The sequence below is a fragment of the Homo sapiens genome, chromosome 1 (assembly GCF_000001405.40).
Source record: "Homo sapiens chromosome 1, GRCh38.p14 Primary Assembly".
Classification (NCBI taxonomy): domain Eukaryota; kingdom Metazoa; phylum Chordata; class Mammalia; order Primates; family Hominidae; genus Homo; species Homo sapiens.
The window spans coordinates 245105477-245129088 of record NC_000001.11 but is presented as its reverse complement, the minus strand read 5'-3'; the positions used below and the strand labels follow the sequence as shown (position 1 = coordinate 245129088).

The 23612-nt window shown below is 46.3% G+C and overlaps 1 protein-coding gene across 7 annotated transcripts in view, besides 2 other annotated features; it reads right to left on the bottom strand.

The window, feature by feature from the left end:
* Nucleotides 3860-23612, bottom strand: part of DRC8 (dynein regulatory complex subunit 8) — a 155548-nt gene continuing 135795 nt past the window's right edge. For 2 of the 7 annotated variants that reach the window (NR_026587.1, NM_001143943.1), the window contains one exon: nt 3861-7169. Coding sequence is in view for 6 of the 7 variants with exons in the window: in NM_001143943.1 (NP_001137415.1) it covers nt 7141-7169 (29 nt within the window). In the remaining variant the exon portion in view is untranslated. Of the gene's footprint in view, nt 7170-18062; nt 21955-23612 lie in introns of those variants that run through there. The other 5 variants (XM_047432067.1, XM_047432068.1, XM_017002539.2 and 2 more) reach the window with 5 other exon arrangements.
* Nucleotides 21152-21652: an enhancer, noted in NCBI's record as "H3K4me1 hESC enhancer chr1:245270739-245271239 (GRCh37/hg19 assembly coordinates)". NCBI's record gives its function as "activates a minimal SCP1, AML or CMV promoter by ChIP-STARR-seq in naive H9 embryonic stem cells {active_cell/tissue: H9 hESC(naive)}" and the evidence as "EXISTENCE:reporter gene assay evidence [ECO:0000049][PMID:30033119]".
* Nucleotides 21653-22153: an enhancer, noted in NCBI's record as "H3K4me1 hESC enhancer chr1:245270238-245270738 (GRCh37/hg19 assembly coordinates)". NCBI's record gives its function as "activates a minimal SCP1, AML or CMV promoter by ChIP-STARR-seq in naive H9 embryonic stem cells {active_cell/tissue: H9 hESC(naive)}" and the evidence as "EXISTENCE:reporter gene assay evidence [ECO:0000049][PMID:30033119]".

Here is a 23612-nt window from a genome sequence, read left to right as displayed (position 1 = left end):
TACATGTGCAAATAATATCAAAAGGCTTATTTTTTAAAATCCCCAGTCCTGGCTGCCCCTCCCCTCCACACCTGTCCTCCTCCCCTCTGAGGTGACCATTTTGAGGTTTTTGAGGTATTCACCTCTGCTTTTCTAAATGCGCTTGCTCTGCTGTTTCTTGATTTATCCATTTGAGACATCAGCTCTTTACTCTGTGCTGTGGTGCATGACAATTTAGCTCTTACCGTACTCACTGCTCGCTCCTCCTCTCAACAAGACATTAATAAAAATAGGAACGGGCTCTTATTTCTGGAGCGCTCACTAGGTATCAGGCACTGTTATATTCTGGCAGGGTGGCCCCCTTCCCTCCCTGATGCACTCTCCACGCGGCTCCCAGGACTCCCCACTCCCTCCCTCTGGTTCCTTCCACCGAGTCACCTTCTCGGATCCGTCCCTTCTCTGTACCCTCTGAAGGATGGGCACCCAGGGCTCGGTCCTCCGGCCCCTCTTCTCCATCTGCGCTCCCCGCCGCTCATTGGTGGTCTCACCAGTCTCGTGGTTCCGAAAATCTTCCCTGTGCTGATGCCTCCCAGAGCCCCATCTCCAGCCCTGTCCCCAGGCCCCTCAACACTGGCCCGATTTTGAGGCTGTGCCTCCAGAAGACAGAAGCAGCGTGGAGTCATGCAGTCAGGATGGGGCTGGCAGATGGAAGTCCTCGTCTAGAACTGGCCCTACCACCTCCCAGGAGTGTGGCCTCTGGTGACAGACTTCACTTCTCCACCATAAATGTTATTGCTTTCTCTGTACAAATGCTCTTTCTTACCCTGTGGATTGACTATAAGAATCAAGTCATGGCGAGGGTTTTGGAAGTGGAAAAGCCTTACGTTAGTGGAATTGGTTATTATTTCTCTTTTTTATTTTTTATTTTATTTTCAAGATGTGGTCTTGCTCTTTAGCCCAAAGCTGGAGTGCAGTGGTGCGATCATAGCTCACTGCAGCCTCGAACTCCTGGGCTCAAGTGATCCTCCCACCTCATCCTCCCAAGTACAGGCTACAGGTGTGTCACTACCCTGGCTAATTTTTTTTTTTTTTTTTGACTTTTTGGTAGAGACAAGGTCTTGCTTTGTTACCCAGGCTGGTCTCAAACTCCTGGCCTCAATGATCTTTTCACCTCAGCCTCCCAAAGTGCTGGGATTACAGGCATGAGCCACTGTGCCCAGGCTGTTATTTCTGCTTGTACTCCTCCACACTTCCTTTTCTCTCTCTTAATCTTTCCCATTCTGTCCTTTGTGATCAGCATTTATTTCACAGCCATTTATTGAGCAGCTAGTATGTGGCAGGCACCGTGGGAGCCACACACAGGGCTCTTGCTTGCACGGGGGTCACAGCCTCACTTTCAAAAGGCCTGGGTGCGCCTTGGTCTTTGTTTTCCTCTCCATTTTCTTTTTCTTTTCTTTTTTTTTTTTTTTCCTAGATGGAGGTATGCTCTTGTTGCCCAGGCTGGAGTGCAGTGGAGTGATCTCGGCTCACTGCAACTTCTGCCTCCTGGGTTCAAGCGATTCTCCTGCCTCAGCCTTCTGAGTAGCTGGGATTACTGGCACCTGCCACCATGCCCAGCTAAATATTGTATTTTTAGTAGAGATGGGGTTTCAACATGTTGGCCAGGCTGGTCTCGAACTCTGGACCTCAGGTGATCTGCCCGCCTCGGCCTCCCAAAGTGCTGTGCTTACAGGCGTGAGCCACCGTGCCTAGCCTTCCTTCCATTTTCTTTCCCTGTCACTCTCATCCTACCTTAACCCTCAATGATTCTGTTCTTTAATAGGTCTAATTTCATAAATGAAACAGATGCTTTACTCATTATATTATTGTTGAAATCCATGTTCCTTTTTAAAAACACGAGTGAATACTGCTTCTTTAAAAAAACAAAAAACTTCCCTAGAGTAAGTTTCTTTTTACTGAAGGGTCTCATATTTATCTTTTTTTTTTTTCTAGAATCATTGACCCTTTCCAGAAATAAGCTCCTTGACAAGTTTGTTTTCACAAATGCAGGCAGATATAAATATGCCGTCATATTTGTGCAATTTACAAAGTTGTACAATCCTCAAAGTAGTTGATCCTCACTTTCATCTCTTCCTAAACAAAATTGCAATCCAGAAAATAAAAATATCCCTTAGAAAACCTCCACACCTGTCTGAAGAACTTGTGGTGATAATGATCTCCGTGGAGTTGGATGAGCCTCTGAGTCTGACAAGTGTCTTCTAATCTGAAGTTTTGCACCCCTGGTATTTGTGACTATGACCCGTAATCTTCTTTTCACAGTATTAAGTGTGTCGTAGAGCCAGAGTCTGGTTGGCTGAGGGCCTGTTTCTCAAATCTGCGTGGTCATGTCAGAGGCATTTGAATCAGAGTGATGAGGGGCTGAGTAAAATGAGGCTGAGATCTGCTGGGCTGCGTCCCCAGCCTGTTAGGCATTCTAAGTCACAGGATGAGACAGGAGGTCACCACAAGATACAGGTCATAAAGACCTTACTGATAAAACAGGTTGCAGTAGAGAAGTGGCCAAAACCCACCAAACCCAAAATGGTGATGAGAGTGGCCTCTGGTCGACCTCACTGCTCATTATATGCTAATTATAATGCATTAGCATGCTAAGAGACACTCCCACCTGCGCCATGACAGTTTACAAATGCCAGGGCAATGTCAAGAAGTTATCCTACACGGTCTAAAAGGGGGAGGAACCCTCCGTTCCAGGAATTGCCCACCCCTTTCCCTCATGAATAATCCAGCCCTTGTTTAGCATATAATCAAGAAATAATCATAAAAATGGGCAACCGGCCCGGCGTGGTGACTCACGCCTGTAATCCCAGCACTTTGGGAGGCCGAGGCGGGTGGATCACGAGTCACGCCTGTCATCCCAGCACTTTGGGAGGCCGAGGCGGGTGGATCACGAGGTCAGGAGATCGAGACCATCCTGGCTAACATGTGAAACCTCATCTCTACTAAAAATACAAAAAATTAGCCGGGCATGGTGGCGGGCGCCTGTAGTCCCAGCTACTCGGGAGGCTGAGGCAGGAGAATGGCGTGAACCCGGGAGGCGGAGCTTGCAGTGAGCCGAGATTGTGCCACCGCACTCCAGCCTGGGCGACAGAGCCAGACTCCATCTCAAAGAAAAAAAAAAAAAAATGGGCAACCAGCAGCCCTCGGAGCTGCTCTGCCTATGGAGTAGCCATTCTTTACTCCTTTGTTTTCTTAACAAACTTGCTTTCACTTCACTCTATGGACTCCCCCTGAATTCTTTCTTGGGCGATATCCAAGAACCCTCTCTCGGCGTCTGGATCGAGACTTCTTTCTGATAACAGTCCTACTATCTGTGGAAGCCCTAGGGTCCTGAGGAACTTGTGAGGACAATCTGGCTTCCTGGGAAAACCCTCAGCCCCAGCCACTAACAGGGCAGGACATATGGGGAGGAAAGAGCCTTGATATCATCCCATATGTTGAAAAACAATTGCTATTCCAACTACAGTTGCTTCTGCCTTCTAAGGCAGGTGTCATGATTCATGTGATGTGAAGATCAAGTCCTTGCCTTCCCTTTGGCTTAAAAAGATTGCTGATGGAAAACTGAGAGAATTTGATTGAGTTGAGGCATAGGATAACCACCAAGTTTGTGCAGGTGCTTGCAGCCCTAAGGGGAGAGGTGCAGAATGGGTGGTCCCTTGCTAAGCAGAGGCTTTGGAAATGCCGCAGCAGGAGGTGGGAGAGTGGAATTGCTCTAGGAGGTGAGACAAGGAGCTGACATTGAGCCAGAGAGGGAGAGCCAAAACCTGGGGGAAGGCTGGGCTACAAAGAAAGGACAGAGCCAGGGAGAAATTTCCCACAGCAGTAATGGTGAAAAACACTTTTTTAAATGGGCGAATATCATGGATGCTCGTAGCAACATTTTCGTAATAGCCAAAAAGTGAAAACAGCACAAATGCTCATCAGCTGATGAAGGGATAAGCAAACATGGCATCTCCAAACAGTGGAACGAAGTGGTGTGATCCTGAGTGGGGTCTGTGAAGCACAGCAGGCTTGGCCAGCCACGGTAACCACGATGGGTCCATCGCTGGATGGGACCAGAAAGTGAATACGCCGAGGCATAGGGTTGTAGCAGAGAAAGAGGTTTCATCGTAGGGCCACCGAAGGAGGAAATGGGAGGAAACGTCAAATCCATCTCCCTGAGGAGTTTGGGGCTGGGGTTTTTAAGGGTTTGGGAGTGGAGACTGGAGTGTGGAGATGGTTGATTGGTCGAAGTGTGCAGGGTGGAGTCATGGGAGAGGGAGACGAAGCTGTATTTTCATGCTGATCACATTCCTCTGTGGGGGTCTTCAAACTGGTTGGTGTCGGCTGTTTTGCTGGAATTCAGGATCTGAAAAACATCTTAAGCAAGTCTTAAACAAAAATCTTATGATTCTAATGTCAGAGATCCCATCTATTTTAAACAAAAGCCTTGTGATTCTAAGGTCAGAAATTGTATCTATAGGAACAACGGGGATGCAAATGTTACCTAGTGCTACGTCACTGTTGGTTACAAGGAAGTGGGTCAAAGTGCAGGCTGACTGATGCTTACTTACAACTATATTTCTGTCCAGAATTCTTCTTAATCCTGTGAGGATGGCTCACCATATCGTGCTCAATCATGGTGCCAAAATGCCTGTCCTGGGGCTGGACACCTAGAATTCCCCTCCAGGCCAAGTGACGGAGTCTGTGAAGCTTGAGAACGTTGCCACTGTCAGCAAGCTGCGGTGCTCATACCATGAGAAGAGCCTGATAAAGGAGCCTGTCAGAAGACCCTCAGGGGACCACCTGGATTCCTACCTTATTCACTGGCCAACAGGCTATTTTTCCTGTTGGATGGGACAGACAACGTGGTACCTAGTGACACCAACTTCATGTCACATGGGTGGCCACATGGAGGAGCTGGTGGATGAAGGGCTCTGAAAGCTTTTGGAATCTCCAACTGCAGCCATCTCCAAGAGATGGTAAAGAAACCTGGCTTAAGACCAGGTGTGGTGTCTCAGCCTGTAATCCCAGCACTTTGGGAGGCCAAGGCGGGAGGATCACTTGAGCCCAGGAACTCGAGGCTGCAGTGAGTTATGATCATGCCACTACACTCCAGGCCTGAGTGATAGAGTGAGACCCTGTCTCTAAATATATATATATATATATGACAGACAGAAAAAAAGAAACCTGGCTTAAAAACAGTGGTTAACCACAGTGAGTGCCACCTGCACCCACCTCAGGAGAAGTTAATCCAGGGCTGCCAATCCAAAGGCAAGGTGGTGACTGCCTGTAGTCCCCTCAGCTCTCGTGACAGGTCTGGGGGATCCCAGCACCAAAGCAATCACAGCCAAGCACAGTAAAAAAAATAAACAAATAAAAACGCAGCCCAGGTTCTGATCTGGTTTCCCATGCATAGGAATTTGGTGGTAATTCCTATCATCATTTCGGTGGTGATGCTGGAACGCACTGCTGAAAACTTGGAGGACTTCGACTTTCAACTGAGCAGCCTGATGTGACCACTGTAGTCAGCTACAACAGGAACGGGAGGGTCTGTGTCTTGGTGAGCTGTGCCTCCTGCAAGGATTACCCCTTCAACACTGAGCTTTAAAGCTATAGGTACCTGCTCTTCCCCCAGTGCCTTGCACCTCTTTTTCCTGCCTCAGTTTTTCTAGCAAGTGTAGTATGGCCTGTGTCCCTTAACGGCGGGTCAGCAACCTGCAGACTGGCCAGCACGGGTGTGGTCAGGTTGATGCTGTGTCCAAAGAGCAGTTTGTGTAGACGAGACGTCTCTTCCAGTTTTCTTTGCCCTTTTTCTTGTCCGGCTGGGAGAAGTACATCCTGAATACCCTTTTCCAGCCAAAATGAAGCAAAACCTACGGTCCAAATAGTGCCACTTGGAGTTGCGTTTTGACTGCTGGAACTGTAATCCCTGTAGCCAGTCTCCTTGCCTCAAATAAAAAGTGAGGCTTTTTATTTGTGAGCTTAACAAAAAAGAATGAACTAAGGATATACATTACAACATGGATGAACCTCAAAAGCCTTACACTAAATGAAAGAAGCCAGACACAGAAGGCCACATATTGTATGATTGTGTTTATGTGAAATGCCCTGAAGAGGCAAATCCACAGACACACAGGAAGATTAGCGGTTGCCCGAGGATGACGGTGGGGGAAGGGGAACTGCTATTGGACATGGGGATTCTTTTTAAGATGATGGAAATGCTTTGTAAGTAGATAGGAGTGATAGTTGCACAGCACTGTGAAGATACTAGAATCCATTGAATTGCACACTTGAATGGGGTGAATGTTGGCTGGGCACAGTGGCTCACATCTGTAATCCTAACACTTTGGGAGGCTGAGGTGGCAGGATCGCTTGAACCCAGGAGTTTGAGACCAGCCTAAGCAACATAGCCAGACCCTGTCTCTACAAAAAATAAAAAAAAACATTAGCTGGGCGTGGTGGCATGCACCTGTGGTCCCAGCTACTCAGGAGGCTGAGGCGCGAGGACCCCTTGAGTCCAGGAGGTCGATGCTACAGTGAGCTGTGATCATGCCACCTGCATTCCAGCTGGGGTGACAGTGAAACCCTGTCTCCAGAAAAAAAGTGGGGAGGGGATGGTGAGTGTTGAGGTATGTGAATGACTATTATATAAGCTGTTGTTTGTAAATGGGCTAATATTAAAATTTAAACTGTGTGCTGTCACTTGCTACTAAGTCACTCTGCCTCGTTTCTTCACCCTTCGTTCAAGGTGTACCACATTCAACGCCATGCTTCTGGGTACTTCTAAGCAAATGTTTGGATGAATATGGAGAGAAGAGAACAGCTAGACAAAGCAAGATACAGAGAGGAGATCAAGAGTTAAGGAAGCAGCCGGGTGCGGTGGCTCATGCCTGTAATCCCAGAACTTTGGGAGGCTGAGGCGGGAGGATCACTTGAGGTCAGGAGTTCGAGACCAGGAGGTCACCAGACCATGGTGAAACCCCGTCTCTACTAAAAATACAGAAATTAGCCAGGCGTGGTGGTGTGTGCCTGTCATCCCAGCTGCTCAGGAGGCTGAGGCAGGAGAATCTCTTGAACCCGGGAGGTGGAGGTTGCAACGAGCCAAGATCACGCCACTGCACTTCAGCCTGGGCGACGGAGCGAAACTCCATCTAAAATAAAATAAAATAAAATAAGAAAAAAGAAAAGAAAAATAATTAAGAAAGCAAAAAAGTAGATGAAGAAGTAGCTAAGACAAGCCTAAGGCCTGTGAGGCTGCTGAGGGAATTTTCAGTAGAGGAGCCAGACGGAGGGGTTGATGCTTTGCCTCCTGCTGGAGGCACTGGGACTGCGGGAGATATTTGCTGACGCTGGACAGCCCTCGTTTTGGTTCAGATCCGTACCTCTCCCCCACGCAGCACATACACTTTAGGGAAGGCCAGCCCGGCCTTTGGTAGTAGAGGTGCAGCACTGTCTCAGGCCTAAGCTAGGCAGTGATGGTTCCAACAGGGACTTGGCTGATCAAGTCAGAATAAAGTTCAAGACTGTTTCATGGCTAGGGATAGAGGTATTGTTTCCTGGTGATCTGTCTCTGCAAGGGAAAGACCATGGGCTGTCTCTGCCATCTTGAGGATATGAGGAAGGGGGCTGCCTGAAAATGAAGCCAACCCAAAGAAACAGATGCAAGAATTGGATTCTGATCATGGCATCTGAGCCCTGGATCAAGCTGCATCTGAAGCTATGTCTGCTTTTGGACTCTTCCGTTACATATAAGCCAGTTAATTCCTTTTATGGGTTGAGCTTTCTGTTACTTGGAACAGCAACGATCACATCTATGGTCAAATGATAATTTTGTAAAATACAAAGACTGCAAATACACCTCCGTATTTCCCTATTATATCACTTATTTCTTTGTTACAGGTTTATAAAAAGGGGCATAAAACTTCCTGAAAATTCTGCCTACATAACATTTGTATGAGTTTCATAATTAATAAAAATATACAAAGGTTTCAAAACTAAAGAAACTTAAGAAAAATGTAGTTGACCAAATTAATTTTGAACTGTATTTGCCCTAAATATTTTAAAAGTAGAAGTCTATGCTTGACAAACCCAGATGAACCTGGCTTAACACCATTCCTGTCAACACCTCCACTGTCCGGTCTTTGTAAAAGGCCAGGTGTCATATTGTTTGAGGCTTTAGCGGCCTGCAAGGCAAAGTGGGCCAAACCTAACATTGCTTTTAACTGGTAATCTGCCCAAATTGCATTATTCCACGTTATTCATGTATCACCCCCGAGGTGCCTTCCCATTGAAGAAATTAGCTCAGAAGCTCTTCATTTAAGGTGCGAAGTGACAGGTGTCTCTGTATCTAAAATGGAAATTATAGCAATTGCTGAAAATGTTGCAATCACTGCTTGGGTATACAAGAGACACACCCAAAATAAAATGTTTGAAAAATGCTGAAAATAAAAGGATAAGCAAAAGTCTACCAGGCAAAAGAAAATGAGGAAAAGGCTGAAGTCTAGTTCTACATGAACCAGAACAGCCACTGCAATTTAAACTCGAATTTCTGTTCTGAACAGCATTTTTGTCAGGAAAAAAATACAAATAATAAACAAATAAATCAGAGTTTCTGAAAGATGGAAAACTGCTTCCATATTCTTGAGAAGGGAACTGGTTAAATAAAATATGGCACATTCACGCAATAGAATACTACACAGACATTGAGATCGATGAGGTGGGTATTTATACAATTAGGAACTGAGCGTATGGGACCTGTTGCTTAGTGAGAAAAGTGTGATGTGTAGAGATGCGTGAAGGGCGCATAAGGATGCTACCTGCCTGTTCACACAAGGATTCCCTGGAATCGGTGCACTCAGGGGAGAGGGATCCGAGTGGTTTTGGGACACATTTATAAAAAAAAATTAGTTTTTACTCTATGAGCCTTCATACCTTTTGAATTTTGTACCACATATATTTTATTCATTCAAAAAAATAAATTAGGTCAGTTTCTTTTTTTACATCTTTCAGATTATGGTCATCCATCTTATTTTAACTAAATGGCCAACAGCCTCTATCTGATGCCCCAGCATTATCCACTGGGTTCAGTTCCTTGCTCTTTTATTTATTTACTTATTTACTTATTTTTTATTTTTTTTTGAGACGGGGTCTCGCTCTGTTGCCCAGGCTGGAGTGCAGTTGCATGATCTAGGCTCACTGCAAGCTCCACCTCCTGGGTTCACGCCATTCTCCTGCCTCAGCCTCCCGAGTAGCTGGGACTACAGGCACCTGCCACCACGTGTGGCTAATTCGTTCTATTTTTAGTAGAGACGGGGCTTCACCATGTTAGCCAGGATGGTCTTGATCTCCTGACCTTGTGATCCGCATGCCTCGGCCTCCCAAAGTGTTGGGATTACAGGCGTGAGCCACCGTGCCCAGCCTCCTTTTTTTTTTTAGACAGGGTCTTGCTCTGTTGCCCAGGCTGGAGCACAGTGGCGTGATCATGGCTCACTTCAGCCTCCTGCCTTAGCCTCCCATGTAGCTGGGACTACAGGCATGCATCACCATGCCCAGTTACTTTTAAATTTTTTTTGTAGAGACAGGGCCTCGCTTTGTTGCCGAGACTGGTCTCCAACTCCTGGCCTCCTGCCTCGGCCTCCCAAAATGCTGAGATTACAGGCATGAGCCACTGTGCCAGGCTCAGTTCTTTACCCTTAATGGTTACTTTTAGTATGAAAAAAAAAAAAACTCTCCAATTTCTTGTATATTGCTCTTTGATGAAAGAATTTGGGGTTAACCAACCCTTAATGTTGCATTTCACTTCATATTCGCACTTCATTATTATTTTGACCACTAGAAGTGAGAAATTATTTTACTGAAAATCATGAATATGCCTTGGTCAAGAGTTCACACTCTTTTTTTCTGTTTAATTAGAAGTACTTGCTTGAATAAACTGTAAACTTACCCATGATTTCCACTTGTGTTATTAATGGTTCTAGCAAACTGGAATTTTCCCACCCTCGCATAACAGCCAGAGGCATGGGTTGGGCTCCGCCAGCATCTCATACCACCAGCAACCAGACAATGCCCAATTCCCTACAGCCTTGGCCCTGCCCCATCATCAAGAATGAGTCAATCCCTCCCCTCTCCCTAGCTGAGGAGCTCATCAGCTGTCCCATGCAAGTAAAGTTCTCTCCTTATATAATGTCTTCTGGAAATCAAAGCATTTCATCAACTGTTGTTATCATTATTTTTTTCTTTTCTTTTCTTTTCTTTTCTTTTCTTTTCTTTTCTTTTTTTGAGATGGCGTTTTGCTCTTGTTGCCCAGGCTGGAGTGCAGTGGTGCGATCTTGGCTTACCACAACCTCCGCCTCCTGGGGCTCAAGCGATTCTCCTGCCTCAGCCTCCTGAGTAGCTGGGATTACAGGCATGCACCACCACGCCAGGCTAATTTTGTATTTTTAGTAGAGACGGGGTTTCTCCCTGTTGGTCAGGCTGATCTCGTACTCCCGACCTTAGGCAGTCTGCCTGCCTCAGCCTCCCAAAGTGCTGGGATTACAGGCGTGAGCCACTGCGCCCGGCTTACTGTCATTGTTTTACAGCACGTAGTATCTTCCCGATAAAGGTTTCTCACTCGTTTTTAAAATGCTCCACAAGGTGACACATGGTGTTCTCCCAGTTCTCCGAAGAAAGCTGCAGGGGCAAACTTCGAGGGCCTTCAGGAAGCCACAACCTCACCTGGCTCCCTCCCCAGCCAAGCCCAGCGCACCTGTCCCTGTGTTGTTCTTGGCTACTCTTCTGTCCTTCAAGATTTACTGATGGTGTAATGGAAGAGACTAGGCTGCGATTTCAATCTCAAAATGCACCCTAGGGCCAGGGTTTGCTCTAATTCTCCCTCATCTATTTCTCATGGCAGATCTTAAATATTTTTGACACTAGGGTCTTTCAGTTCTCGGTCTAAGTGTGCAGGAAGTCAGACAGGGCAGGCCCATCACGTAGTTTTGTAATTATTCAAACTTGAGTAATGGAATTCTCAGGTAGCGTAATAGAGGTTTTTGCTTAAGTAAACATCCCACAGCCTGGAAGTCATCATTTCCCATTTTAAGCGTATTTATTTATTTATTGGAGACAGAGTCTCACTCTGTCACCCAGGCTGGAGTGCAGTGGCACAATCTTGGCTCACTGCAACCTCCACCTCTGGGTTCAAGCAAGTCTCATGCCTCAGCCTCCCAAGCAGCTGGGACTACAGGTGCACACCACCACACTCAGCTAATTTGTGTATTTTTAGTAGAGATGAGGTTTTGCCACGTTGGCCAGGCTGGTCTTGAACTCCTGGCCTCAAGCGATCCGCTTGCCTTGGCCTCCCAAAGTGCTGGGATTATAGACATGAGCCACCGTGCCTGCCCTGAAGCATATTTAAAACTAAGTGGATGTGTGAGGTCAGGAGTTAGAGACCAGCCTGACCAACATGGTGAAACTTCATCTCTACTAAAAATACAGAATTAGCTGGGCATGGTGGTGCACGCCTGTAATCCCAGCTCCTTGGGAGGCTGAGGAAAGAGAATCGCTTGAACCTGGGAGGCGAAGTTGCACTGAGTCAAGATTGCACCACTGCAGTCCAGCCTGGGCAACAAGAGGGAAACTTCATCTCAAAAATAAATAAATAAAATAAAATTAAAATAAAAATAAGTGGATGTGCTTTATTTTCTCTGTTATCATTTATCAAAAGAAGGAAACCAGGCCGGGCACGGTGGCTCATGCCTGTAATCCTAGCACTTTGGGAGGCTGAGGCAGGTGGATCACTTGAGGTCAGGAGTTCGAGACCAGCCTGGCCAACATGGTGAAACCCTGTCTCTACTAAAATACAAAGAAATTAGCCGGGTGTGGTGGTGAGTGCCTGTCATCCCAGCTACTCAGGAGGCTGAGGCAGGAGAATCACTGGAACCCGGGAAGCAGAGGTTGCAGTGAGCAGAGATTGTACCACTGCCCTCCAGCCTGGCAACAGAGCAAGACTCTGTCTCACAAAAAAGAGAAGGAAACCAGACTTAATAACAACAATCTGAATGCAAATTGCTTAACCTTGGATATCTTTGGGAGCTTCCCAGTATTGGTGAAAAGAATGAAGAAAAACAATTTTCTTTGCAGGGCTTACAGGCTTTTACATTGATATTTCTGAATGTCAGATAAAATCGTTGCTGGCTTTATAAGTATTAACCACAGAAGGAAGATAAAAACAAAATATTTTGTACTACACAGCACACAAGAAAAAGCTAAGGAGACAGGATTTTATTATACAGCTCTTCCGTGTATTTAGTTGATAAAATATTTCTACAAGACCAGCTTTTATGCTACTTTGACAACATTAATCTTTGTGTCTATAGTTTAAGATAAAAAATAGGTTTTAGCCAGATACTCAAGGTGACTGAAAGCCTTACAAAAAACAAATAACAATTTTATCTATATGGTATAAAATACAAACAAGAAATCTAGGCACTTTCCTCTTGCCCTGGAGAGTTTCTTGTTCTGACGCCACCTCTGTTTGACGAGGTGGACACTAGCTAGCTCTTGGGGCTTTGTGCTCTTGCAGATGCCAGCTCCACCCGAAACTTCCTATTTGTCCTTTAAGACACAGCTCAGATGTCACCTCCTAATTTCTAGACTCCTCAAGCCAAAGTTTTTTTTGTTTTGTTTTGTTTTGTTTTTAAGAGGCAAGGTCTCACTCCATTGCCCAGGCTGGAGTGCAGTGACTCAGTCAAGGCTCGCTGCAGCCTCTAACTCTTGGCCTCAAGCGATCCTCCCAAGCAGCCTTCACTTCCGCCTCCCAAGTAATTGGGATATAGGTGTGAGTAACCACACCTGGCTAATTTTCTTTCTTTTTTTTTTCCTGGTACAGATAGGATCTTTAGGCCAGGCACAGTGGCTCATGTCTATAATCCTAGCACTTTGAGAGACTGAGGCAGGCGGATCACTTGAGGCCAGGAGTTCGAGACCAGCCTGGCCAACATGGTAAAGCCCCGTCTCTACTAAAAATACAAAAACACTAGCCAGGCATGGCGATGGTACCTGTAATCCCAGCTACTCAGGAGGCTGAGGCAAGAGAATTGCTTGAACCCGGGAGGCAGAGGCTACAGTGACCTGAGATCACGCCACTGCACTCCAGCCTAGGCGACAGAGTGAGACCCTGTCTCAAAAAAAAAAAAAAAAAGAGATAGGATCTCACTCTGTTGCCCAAGCTGGTCTCAAACTCCTGGCCTCAAAGAATCCTCCTGCCGAGCCACGGCACCAGGCCCAGGTGGTCATTTTGTTTTCTGTGCTCTTTGCCCATCAGCAGTGCTTTGTCCATCATTCTGCCCTGGTGTTGGCCACTGGTGTGTGATTTGCCTGTTCACACGCCCACCTCCCTCACTAGACAGCCAGCCCTATGAGGGCAGGCACTGTGCACGATGGTTCTTTGAGCCCTGCTACATAGTTTGGTGTGCCATGCTCAAGGAAGGCACTTACTGATGAATAAATAAATGAATGACAGTGACTGAAAGAATGAATGAGTCCTACATGTCAGAGTTGGCAAAAAGAGGTAAGTTGAGAAACTATTAACCCACTGTCACCAGGTTCCCTGAACTTCACTTCTCAACTAAAAAGTGCACCTTCCCAGAAGGGACAGCCACTCCTGAAGATCCAGGAAGAAACACTATTCCCTCCCCATTGCTAAAGAGTGGGCAATAATTTTTTTAAATAAGTAACTTAAAGCCAGGCAGGGTGGCTCACGCCTGTAATCCCAACACTTTGGGAGGCTGAGGCAGGCAGATTGCTTGAACTCAGGAGTTTGAGATCAGTCTGGGCAACATGGTGAAACCCCATCTCTACAAAAAATACAAAAATTAGCCAGGTGAAGTGGCGTGCCTATAGTCTTAGCTACTTGGGAGGCTGAGGCAGGAGAACTGCTTGAACTGGGGAGGTCGAGGCTGCATGAGCCGAGATCGTGCCACTGCACTCCAGCCTGGATGACAGAGCGAGACCCTGTCTCAAAATAAATAAATGAATAAATAATAAAATAAATAATTTAAATCTCAGCTGGGGACGGTGGCTCACGCCTGTAATCCCAGCACTTTGGGAGGCTGAGGCGGGTGGATCACAAGGTCACGAGATCGAGACCATCCTGACCAACATGGCAGAACCCCATCTCTACTAAAAATACAAAAATTAGTTGGGCATGGTGGCATGTGCCTCTAGTCCCAGCTACTCGGGAGGCTGAGGCAAGAGAATCGCTTAAACCCAGAAGGCAGAGGTTGCACCGAGCCAAGATCACTGTGCCCTCCAGCTTGGGCAACAGAGCAAGACTCTGTCTCAAAAATAATAAATAATAATGATCATAATTTAAATCCTTGATTAATAGCCTCTCCCTTTACTACACTTTTATGAAATAAAAAATCTGCCCTATTTCACCAAACGAACAGGCAGGCTGTTCACGCATCGGTGAATTTCCTCTTGAACGAGTCCTCAGCCTGACAGGAAGACTGGCAGGAACCGGCTGCTGGCCAACCACTTGGCTTTGCATGGTGGTGTCCCCATGGATGTTGTACATGAAGGAATCTAGGGACATCTTAGGAAGACAATTTTTTTTTTTTTTTTAGATGGAGTCTCACTCTGTCGCCCAGGCTGGAGTGCAGTGGCGTGACCTCAGCTCACTGCAACCTCTGCCTCCGGGTTTCAAGCAATTCTTCTGCCTCAGCCTCCCAAGCAGCTGGGATTACAGGCACCTGCCACCACACCTGGCTAATTTTTTTGTATTTTTAGCAGAAACAGGGTTTCACCATATCGGCCAGGCTGCTCTTGAACTCCTGAACTTGTGACCCGCCTGCCTCGGCCTCCCAAAGTGCTGGGATTACAGGTGTGAGCCACCACACCCGGCCCAGGCAGACAATTTTTAAAAAAAAGAATCCCAACCAGTGAGGCCTAAGCTACCAGTAAGGGAGTTGGTAGCAGATCCCAAGCAATGGCGTGACAGAAACAACATCCTGCTTTTGGATGCTTTTAAAATGAATTGCTTCCTTTTCCTTTTCACTTCTGTGAAAAATAAAATGTAACAGAACAAAATCCACTCTCTTTTATTTCCAGACTGGACATCACAGTGTACCAATGGTTGTCCCAACAATGACAAACACCAGCCTTGGACCGTGGAGTCGGGCAGGTCTGAGTTGGGAGCCCCACGTCATCACTTGCTAGTACCATGCCCTTAATCTCTGTGTGTGTCAGCTTTTCTAACTAAACTGGGGACAAGAGCCATCACCGTAAGCTTCTTGTTCTTGGTGGGATTAAATGAGATAAAGCGCGTAAAGTGTCGAGTGTGGCGTTTGGCACATGACAGATGCTTAGTGACTGTTAGGTGTTAATATTATTATTGTTTGTTATTACTTTAATATATTTCCAGCATTCGTTCCTGTTCTCATATTTGAACACGTTAATGTTCGTATTGTATGATCATAAGTGGCATATTAATTTTAGGTTAGAAATTACCATATTTTCTATAGCCAGCTCCTCTTTCTACGGCACTTTTTCCCAGGAGCTGCCATTTCAGACAATAACCACGTCTTCAACTTTTCTGTTTCTCGCAGTACTTAGCACAGTGCAGAGCACACAGCGGGCCTTCTAAAATGCTGCTGAATTGAACAATGAGAAGACAACAGAGTAACGTGACGATATAGTCTGTGCTCTAGACATGGCCTGTGGTCAGCAACCTCCACTAATTGAGTTAAGATCCCTGAAAGCAACTCTTAGATACATTCTTAAAAGCTTTTCTCAGGATCTTTATGAAGGAGCGCCTGGGAACCTCATAACACTGGCATTTTCATCATGTCTTACTTGGCTGACTCGCCTGTAAGACACGGTGATAAGCTCTTAGGGGGGAAACTTTATAGGAAAAATAATCTTGGAACCACAGCAGAATAAGCAAACATATTCTTTAAGGACCAAGGTAAGGTGTATCCTGTTTTTTAAAATATAAGATACTACTGTAAGAATCACACTCAAAATAGTATCAGGGGCCAGGTGCAGTGGCTCACGCCTGTAATCCCAACACTTTGGGAGGCCGAGGCAGGTGGATCACTTGAGGTCAGGAGTTCGAGACCAACCTGGCCAACATGGTGAAACCACTGTCTCTACCAAAATTAAAAAATTAGCTGGGCGTGGTGGCAGACACCTGTAATCCCAGCTACTTGGGAGGCTGAGGCAGGAGAACTGCTTGAACTCAGGAGGCGGAGGCTGCAGTGAGCCAAGACCGTGCCACTGCACTCCAGCCTGGGTGACAGAGAGAGACTCCATCTCAAAAAAAAAAAAAAAGGTAACATGAAGGAAGAACGGGAGTTACTGTTTGAGGAGTATGGAATTTCCATTTGGAATAAGAAAGTTCTAGAGAAGGATCAGGGTGATGGCTGCACGACAATGTGAATTTATTTAATCCCCCTGGACTATATGCATGGAAGTGGTTAAAATGGTAAACTTGATGTTATGTATATTCCACCACAGTTAAGTAAAAGTATAAAGAAGTTTAAAAGTTACCTGCTTTCACAATGTCTCTAAGCATATGAACACACATATATAGTAAAATTTTCAATAACCTTTTCTCACTCAGCTGCATATTTCTTTTTTAAGCTCCAATAATCTTAAAGGTAACTTTAAATGAAATAAGTAAAGGAATAAGGATCATCCATAAAAACAAATAAGGCCGGGTGCAGTAGCTCACACCTGTAATCCCAGCACTTTGGGAGGCCGAGGCAGGCAGATCGCCTGAGGTCGGCAGTTCAAGACCAGCCTGACCAACATGGAGAAACCCCATCTCTAGTAAAAATACAAAATTAGCCGGGTGTGGTGGCGTGCGCCTGTAATCCCAGCTACTTGAGAGGCTGAGGCAGGAGCATCGCTTGAACCCGGGAGGCGGAGGTTGCAGTGAGCGGAAATTGTGCCATTGCACGCCAGCCTGGGCAACAAGAGCGAAACTCTGTCTAAAAAACAAACAAACAAACAAAAACAAATAATAACGTCTTCCAGATTATCTTTTTTCCTGAGACAGGATCTTGCTCTGTCACCCAGGCTGGAGTGCAGTGGCGCAAACACTTCCCACTGCAGCCTCAACTTCCTAGGCTCAAGCAATCCTCTGGCCTCAGCCTGCAGAGTAGCTGGTACTACAGGTGCGTGCCACACCCAGCTAATTTTTTTTTATTTGTATAGACACGGAGTCTCACTACATTTCCCAGGCTGGTCTTGAACTCTTGGGCTCAAGTCATCCTCCTGCCTCAGCCTCCCAAAATGCTGGGATTACAGACATGAGCTACTATGTCCCACCCCAGTTATCTGATGTTGGCCATAGGACAGCAGGGTTTTCTAAAAGTCCCCTTACCCCTGGACCCCTTAAACTTTAGGTGGGTTCAGGTGCCAACAGGCATGATGTTTACAAAAGAAATTTCAAGGTCAGAAGGAACAGGCTGCCTTTGATGAAAGTGAAGAGAAGACAGACAAAGAAAGGAGGCACTGCGAATACGTTCAAGAGGAAACAAAGAAGCCAAAATCTATAAATATGAGTCAAAGACATTCACGTCACCTTCATTAGTCTATTCATTTTGCACCAACTGCATTGTAAACAAAGTGTTCTTCGCTCTGTGCAGTCAATATTCTGCAAATGACTTTGGAAGATTCGGCCAGGTTGAGGGGAGAAGGAGCCATACTTTCCTTTTACAACTAGACACTTTGCCCTGCGGTCAGCAGGTGGGCAGAGGCTGGGAGTGCTGCTGTCCCTGCAGGTCACCGGGTATCAGACCCACCCACATGCATTTGGTGGTCTCGACTCAGTGCCCACGAGTGCAGACCTGGGTGAAGAAAGGAGGAGGAGGTCTGACTCCCTGCTGCCTTTTAAAGATATCTTTGCTGCTCTTTCTCATTATCCCCTATTGCCAAAAAGTAAATTATAAAGTTAATTTTTAACAGCAAAGCATGCATGCTTTTCTGGTATAAATTTATTAGCAGGTTCAGTATTCTGATTGTGAAACCAGGTTTTCATAAACATGCACATGTAGTTTTTTTTTAATTAAAAAATTTATTTTTTCTTAGCACTCTGTGAGCTGGTATACCATAGCTGACATAGGTAGAAGTTTCTTCCCAAAAAGGAGCTTTCTTTCCTCCCATTTTATAGTGTCTAAGTCCACACTATAACCACACTAAAAGCTAGCAAACCCTTCTGGCTGTTGGTGTCAATGCAGAAGCCCTTTAAGGAACAAAGGGTGAGGAGGCCACTAACATTTCCTCTTAATGCCTTCTGTGGCCACAGAGCCACTGACCACTGTGACTTACACATGCCCTATAAACATGTCCCAAATTGCAGAGCCTGAAGAGCTTTCAAAGAATTTTTGTTTGTATGTTTTTGCCTTCCATACACAAACTGGAAGAAACAATAGGCTCCTCCTTGATTTGGGCAAAGGCCCTGCTCTGGCCCTCAGCGGGGCGCTGTCTGGCTGGCAGGCCATCTGTCTGTGGTCCATTAGAGTTAATGTTCTTATTTCTTTCCTGCCCAGCAGAATATGCCCAGAAAAGTCAAAACTAGGTCCTGTCTTATTTAAGAAGTCTCATTCTTCAGTATTTGTGTGCATGGTATTGAAACAAAGTCAACATTCATTCAACTTAATTCTTTGTTTTGTTTTGTTTTGTTTTGTTTTGTTTTTTGAGAAGGAACCTCATTCTGTCGCCCAGGTTAGAATGCAGTGGTGCAATCTCGGCTCACAGCAACCTCCACCTCCTGGGTTCAAGTGATTCTCCTGCCTCAGCTCTCTGAGTAGCTGGGACTACAGGCGTGCATCACCATGCTCGACTGATTTTTTGTATTTTTAATAGAGATGAGGTTTCACCATGTTGGCCAGGCTGGTCTCGAACTCCTGACCTCAAGTGATCCGCCTGCCTCCGCCTCCCAAAGTGCTGGGATTACAAGCGTGAGCCACTGTGCCCAGCAGAATTCAACTTAATGCTCTTTTAAAAGTTAACGAAGTCTTTACTCCAGTTACGCAATTGGCCAAGCATTGAAGATTAAAATGGGAGGGACTTATGGTTTAAAAGGGAAGTCAGATGATAAATACTTACACTACAAGATAACACACGCTTAATAAAGACATCCACATAAAAAAAGTACCATAGGCTATGGGAAGACAGAGCTGATAGCACATCTATTTAGGTGAGAAGGAGCAAGGACAGGCCACCGCCGAGCTGAGGCAGGAAGTCTGAGGTAGTTCAGCCCAGTGGTTAGTGCCTCGCACAGGCTTTGTAGCAGAGAGCCGGGTCTCCCAACATGGCCCTGCCACTTGCTAGCTTTGTGCCAGAGGCATTGAGATAACCTCTCCGAGCTGTGATTTCCTTACCTGTAGAATGGAAGTGATCATTCTTTTTAGCTAGTCAACTCATATGCTATTATAGGGGTTACATTAAATCAACTAACATACATAAATGACTCTGCAGGTAGCAGGTGCCCAGTACGTGCGGCCAGTATTATCAGTTAACCTAAAAGCGAAGGGTGATGTGGAGGAAAGAGCGATGCACACCCAGGCGTACCGGCATGAGGGTGCTTGTCTTCTTCAGGAAAGACCTCAGAACCCTTGTGTGAATGGAGGGAAGCAGTGCAGGGGAGGAGGCCAGAAAGGCCAGCTGTGGGCAGTGGGGACCTCTGGGGATTATTAAGCAGGAGGGTAATGAGACAGAGATTGTCCCTGTCCTTCCATCTGTGCCCCTCTCTAGCCCTTTGAGCCTTTCCATTGCAATAGCTGGCTTGACTTCTACTGCCTAAGGGGTTCATGAGCCCCCTGCCTCCAAGTACATGCAGGAGGGGAATGAACTGCTACAGAATTGACACCTCTCATTGCCTGATGAGAGTCGGAGTATAAATAACCGAGCTCTCTCGCCCCTCAGGCAGGATATCTCTGAGGCATGTATTCTACGAGACTCCTAGAGTTGCCCAGCAAGATTCAGCTCCAGTTACGTGCAGAGGTAACTGGCTCGACAACACACCCTTTACTGGCCTGCTTCCCTTTCCTGTCTTCCTTCCCTACTCACATACTATTGTTTCCTCCCAAATACAACAACTACACCAGAATCCTCGTTTCAGGTTCTGCTTTTGACAAAACCCATACTGAGGTACAAGCCATGGCCATATCTATTTAGAAAAATACTTCTAAAAGCAGAGGAATAATGGATCGGATGGGGCTGAGCCTAGAGGCAGAGTTAGGAGGCTATGGCAACTGTCAAGGAAGGAGGGGATGAGGGCTGGAATCATCTCGTATTATAGGAGTAGAGTGGAAGGAGGGACCCCAGAGACGCTGAGGCAAGTCCTAGAGACTGATGCCTGTGGTCTAGGTTGGACAGAAAAGAGAGCTGAGAGGAGGAGGAATAGACTCTGCTGCATATGAGAGACCAGCACAACATTCAGCTGGAGAATGTCTCAGTGAAAGGCTGGATCAAAGGTTTGGATCTGGGAGTCCTTGCAAGTGTAGCTGGGGTCACGGGGATGAATGAGGCTACTGGGAGAGATGAAAGAAGTTGAGCTGAGGCTAGAATCCTGGGAACACTAATGGTTAAGGGTGGAAATAGAAAGAGGCCTCAGTAAGACATAGAAGCAATAGTCAAAGAGAAAAGGGATAACCCGGAAACAATGTGTCTTTTCATCCAAGGAAGAATTTCAGCAAGGAGGCATCACTGGCAAGCATTCAATGTTGCAGTGAATTCAAAAAACGTGAAGAACTGGACACAGGCTGCTGGGATTGGCAATGGGCATGTCGCTGAGGACCTCAGCAGTCTCAGTAAGTACTGGAGACAGAGTGAGACTGCAGGAGGCTGGGAAATGGAAGGGAGGGGCAGCAAGCTCAGGGTGAGGGGAACATTTCTTCAGAATGCTTGGCGGTGGAGGGAGGGAAAGAGAGACTGGGTGACGGGTGGGTGACGGGGAGAGACGTCTAAAGGAAAGGAAGGTGTTCTTTGAAAAGACGGGGTGGACTTGACTAAGACTGTGGTCTGAAAGCGATAAGCACAGGGATGGTGACAAAGTCAAGGGGAGAGCATGGAGGGAATCTCTGGTGGAGGAAGGGCAGTGAGGAGGTAGCCCGGAGTGGGAACAACAGCAGAGGAGGAGTTAGCCTCCAGGAGGACGCGGAGCTTCTGAGAGCGGTGACGAGGTGAGGATGGATGAAATCACAGGTAAGCTTAGAGATGATGACTATTGTGCCCAGCACAACTGTGCTTGGAGGGAATCTGGGCTGGGCTGGGGTTGGTAGTGGAGAGTGTCACCAACTAAAGGGTAGCTCTGAAAAAGGGGCTGCTTTAGGAGCCCGGTGCCTGGAGTGGTGCACAGGGGGCTGTGATTGCCTGGAAACCGAGCAGGACTGAGAACCAGGAGAGGGCAGCGTGGAGGAGGAGCCCCTGCCAAATGCAAGCAGCCCTGGGAGGCTGCGTCAGACAGCAAAGGCAGGAGGTGACCTGCGCCACAGTCCCTGCCCCATCAGTGCCCCACAGCGGCACTTCTGCCCCTAGAGCTCTTAGATGCCAGTTGGTCTGTGAAAGGGAGATTTGGCGGTGTTAGAGGCCAAAGGTTCTACGCTCTCTGCTGAATAAGAGGCGAGGTCCTCCGATCAGAACAGAAGGACCCGGGGTGCACGGCCTTGCTGAAGAGTTGTAAAGATTAACTTAGTGTTTATTAAGGGAAGTTAGTGTTGTGTGCGATGTGCAGTCCCATAGTGCCTGGGCCAGTGACCCCACCCCTGTCCCCCACTTGCCTCCTTTCCGCTTTCTGGGTGCAGAGTCTTCCTTTCTGCCCCTGTGCTCGGCTCTCACGCCTGCCCACTCGACCTCACTCCTGCCTCGCTGCTCTCAGGACCGACTCCTTGACGTAGCCATTTATGTGGGTGACATCATCAGGAAACCAGAAGTGCAGGGTTTCTTTGGAATCGGATTACAACTGTTTGGAAATAGTTCTAGTTCCCATGTCATATGAATTCCTTTTTGTTTGTTTTTTGTTTTGTTTGTGTTGAGACAGAGTTTCACTCTTGTCACCCAGGCTGGAGTGCAATGGCGCAATCTTGGCTCACTGCAACCTCCGCCTCCCGGGTTCCAGCGATTCTCCTGCCTCAGCCTCCCGAGTGGCTGGGATTACAGGCACCCGCCACCACACCCAGCTAATTTTTGTATTTTTAGTAGAGACGGGGTTTTGCCATGTTGGCCAGCCAGGCTGGTCTCAAACACCTCAGGTGATCCGTCAGCCTCAGCCTCCCAAAGTGCTGAGATTACAGGGGTGAACCACTGCACCAGGCCACCATATCATATGAATTCTTAATTCCTAGATCAAGAAAATCTTGAAATTATCTGGTTAATCCTGGTTATTCCTGCAGAAATTTCCCCAACTTTCTACCTAGCTTACAAATCCAAATTTATTGGTAACCAGTTCATATCGATGAATGACAAAATTTAAAATGGAAGAAACATAGATATAACAAGGTGCAAGTTTGAGTTGTGTGAACATTTTTCTTATTTTTAAATATACATTATTTTAAATATACAATTTAAATATATTAAATATTGAAATATATTTAAATGGTTGTAAATGTTAATTATTTAACATAGGGAAGAGTTATATTCAGAATTATTATGGAATTCATGGTGTACTGTTATCATTTATCTAAATAATTATTCTAAATCATCTTTTTCCTTATAACCCTATGATATTTGAAACCTGTTTTATCAGTCTGTGATAGCTTCATTAAATCAAGTCCAAACACTTCACTTCCTCCCAGAGAGATTCACTGTGACAGAAAGAGCAGTGTAACTGCTAATGCAAACACTGTAAATCACCAGAAACTAATAAGGGAAGAAGAATGTTACCAAGTGTGGTTTGGCTAGCACACAAGCCAAAGGGAGGCTTATACGTCTCATAAGGGATACAGGCAATTTTAAGGCCCACCTATGACACACACACACTTACGAAAGTAAAATGCATATTTCTGTTTGTTTTCCAGAGACAGGGTCTTGCTCTGTTGTCCAGGCTGGAGTGCAATACTGCAGCCTCGAACTCCTGGGCTCAAGTGATCCTCCTGCCTCGGCCTCCTCAGTAGCTGGGACTACAGGCATGTGCCACCATACCCAGCTAATTTTTTAAAAATTTTTGTAGAGATGGGGTCTCACTTTGTTGCCCAGGCGTCTCTCAAACTCCTGGCCTCAGGTGAACTTCCTGCCTTGGCCTCCCAAAGTGTTGGGATTATGGGCGTGAGCCACAGCATCCAGCCAAAAATGCATGTTTTCAAGAGAAATCAAGAAATATTTTGCTTGAAAAATTAAAGAAAAGAAGCAAACTGCTGTGCCTTTTCTGAACAAACAGTATTTCAAAGAAGCCGAATAGTTGATGGCAGAATATTATCTTGGGTTTTTGTTTTTGTTTTTTGTTTTTTTTTTTTTTTTGAGATGGGGTCTTGCTCTGTGGCCCAGGCTGAAGCGCAATGGTGTGATCATGGCTCACTGCAACCGCCATGTCCTGGGCTCAGGTTATACTCCCTGAGCCCTGAGCCCCCTGAGTAGCTGGGACTACAGGCACACACCACCATGCC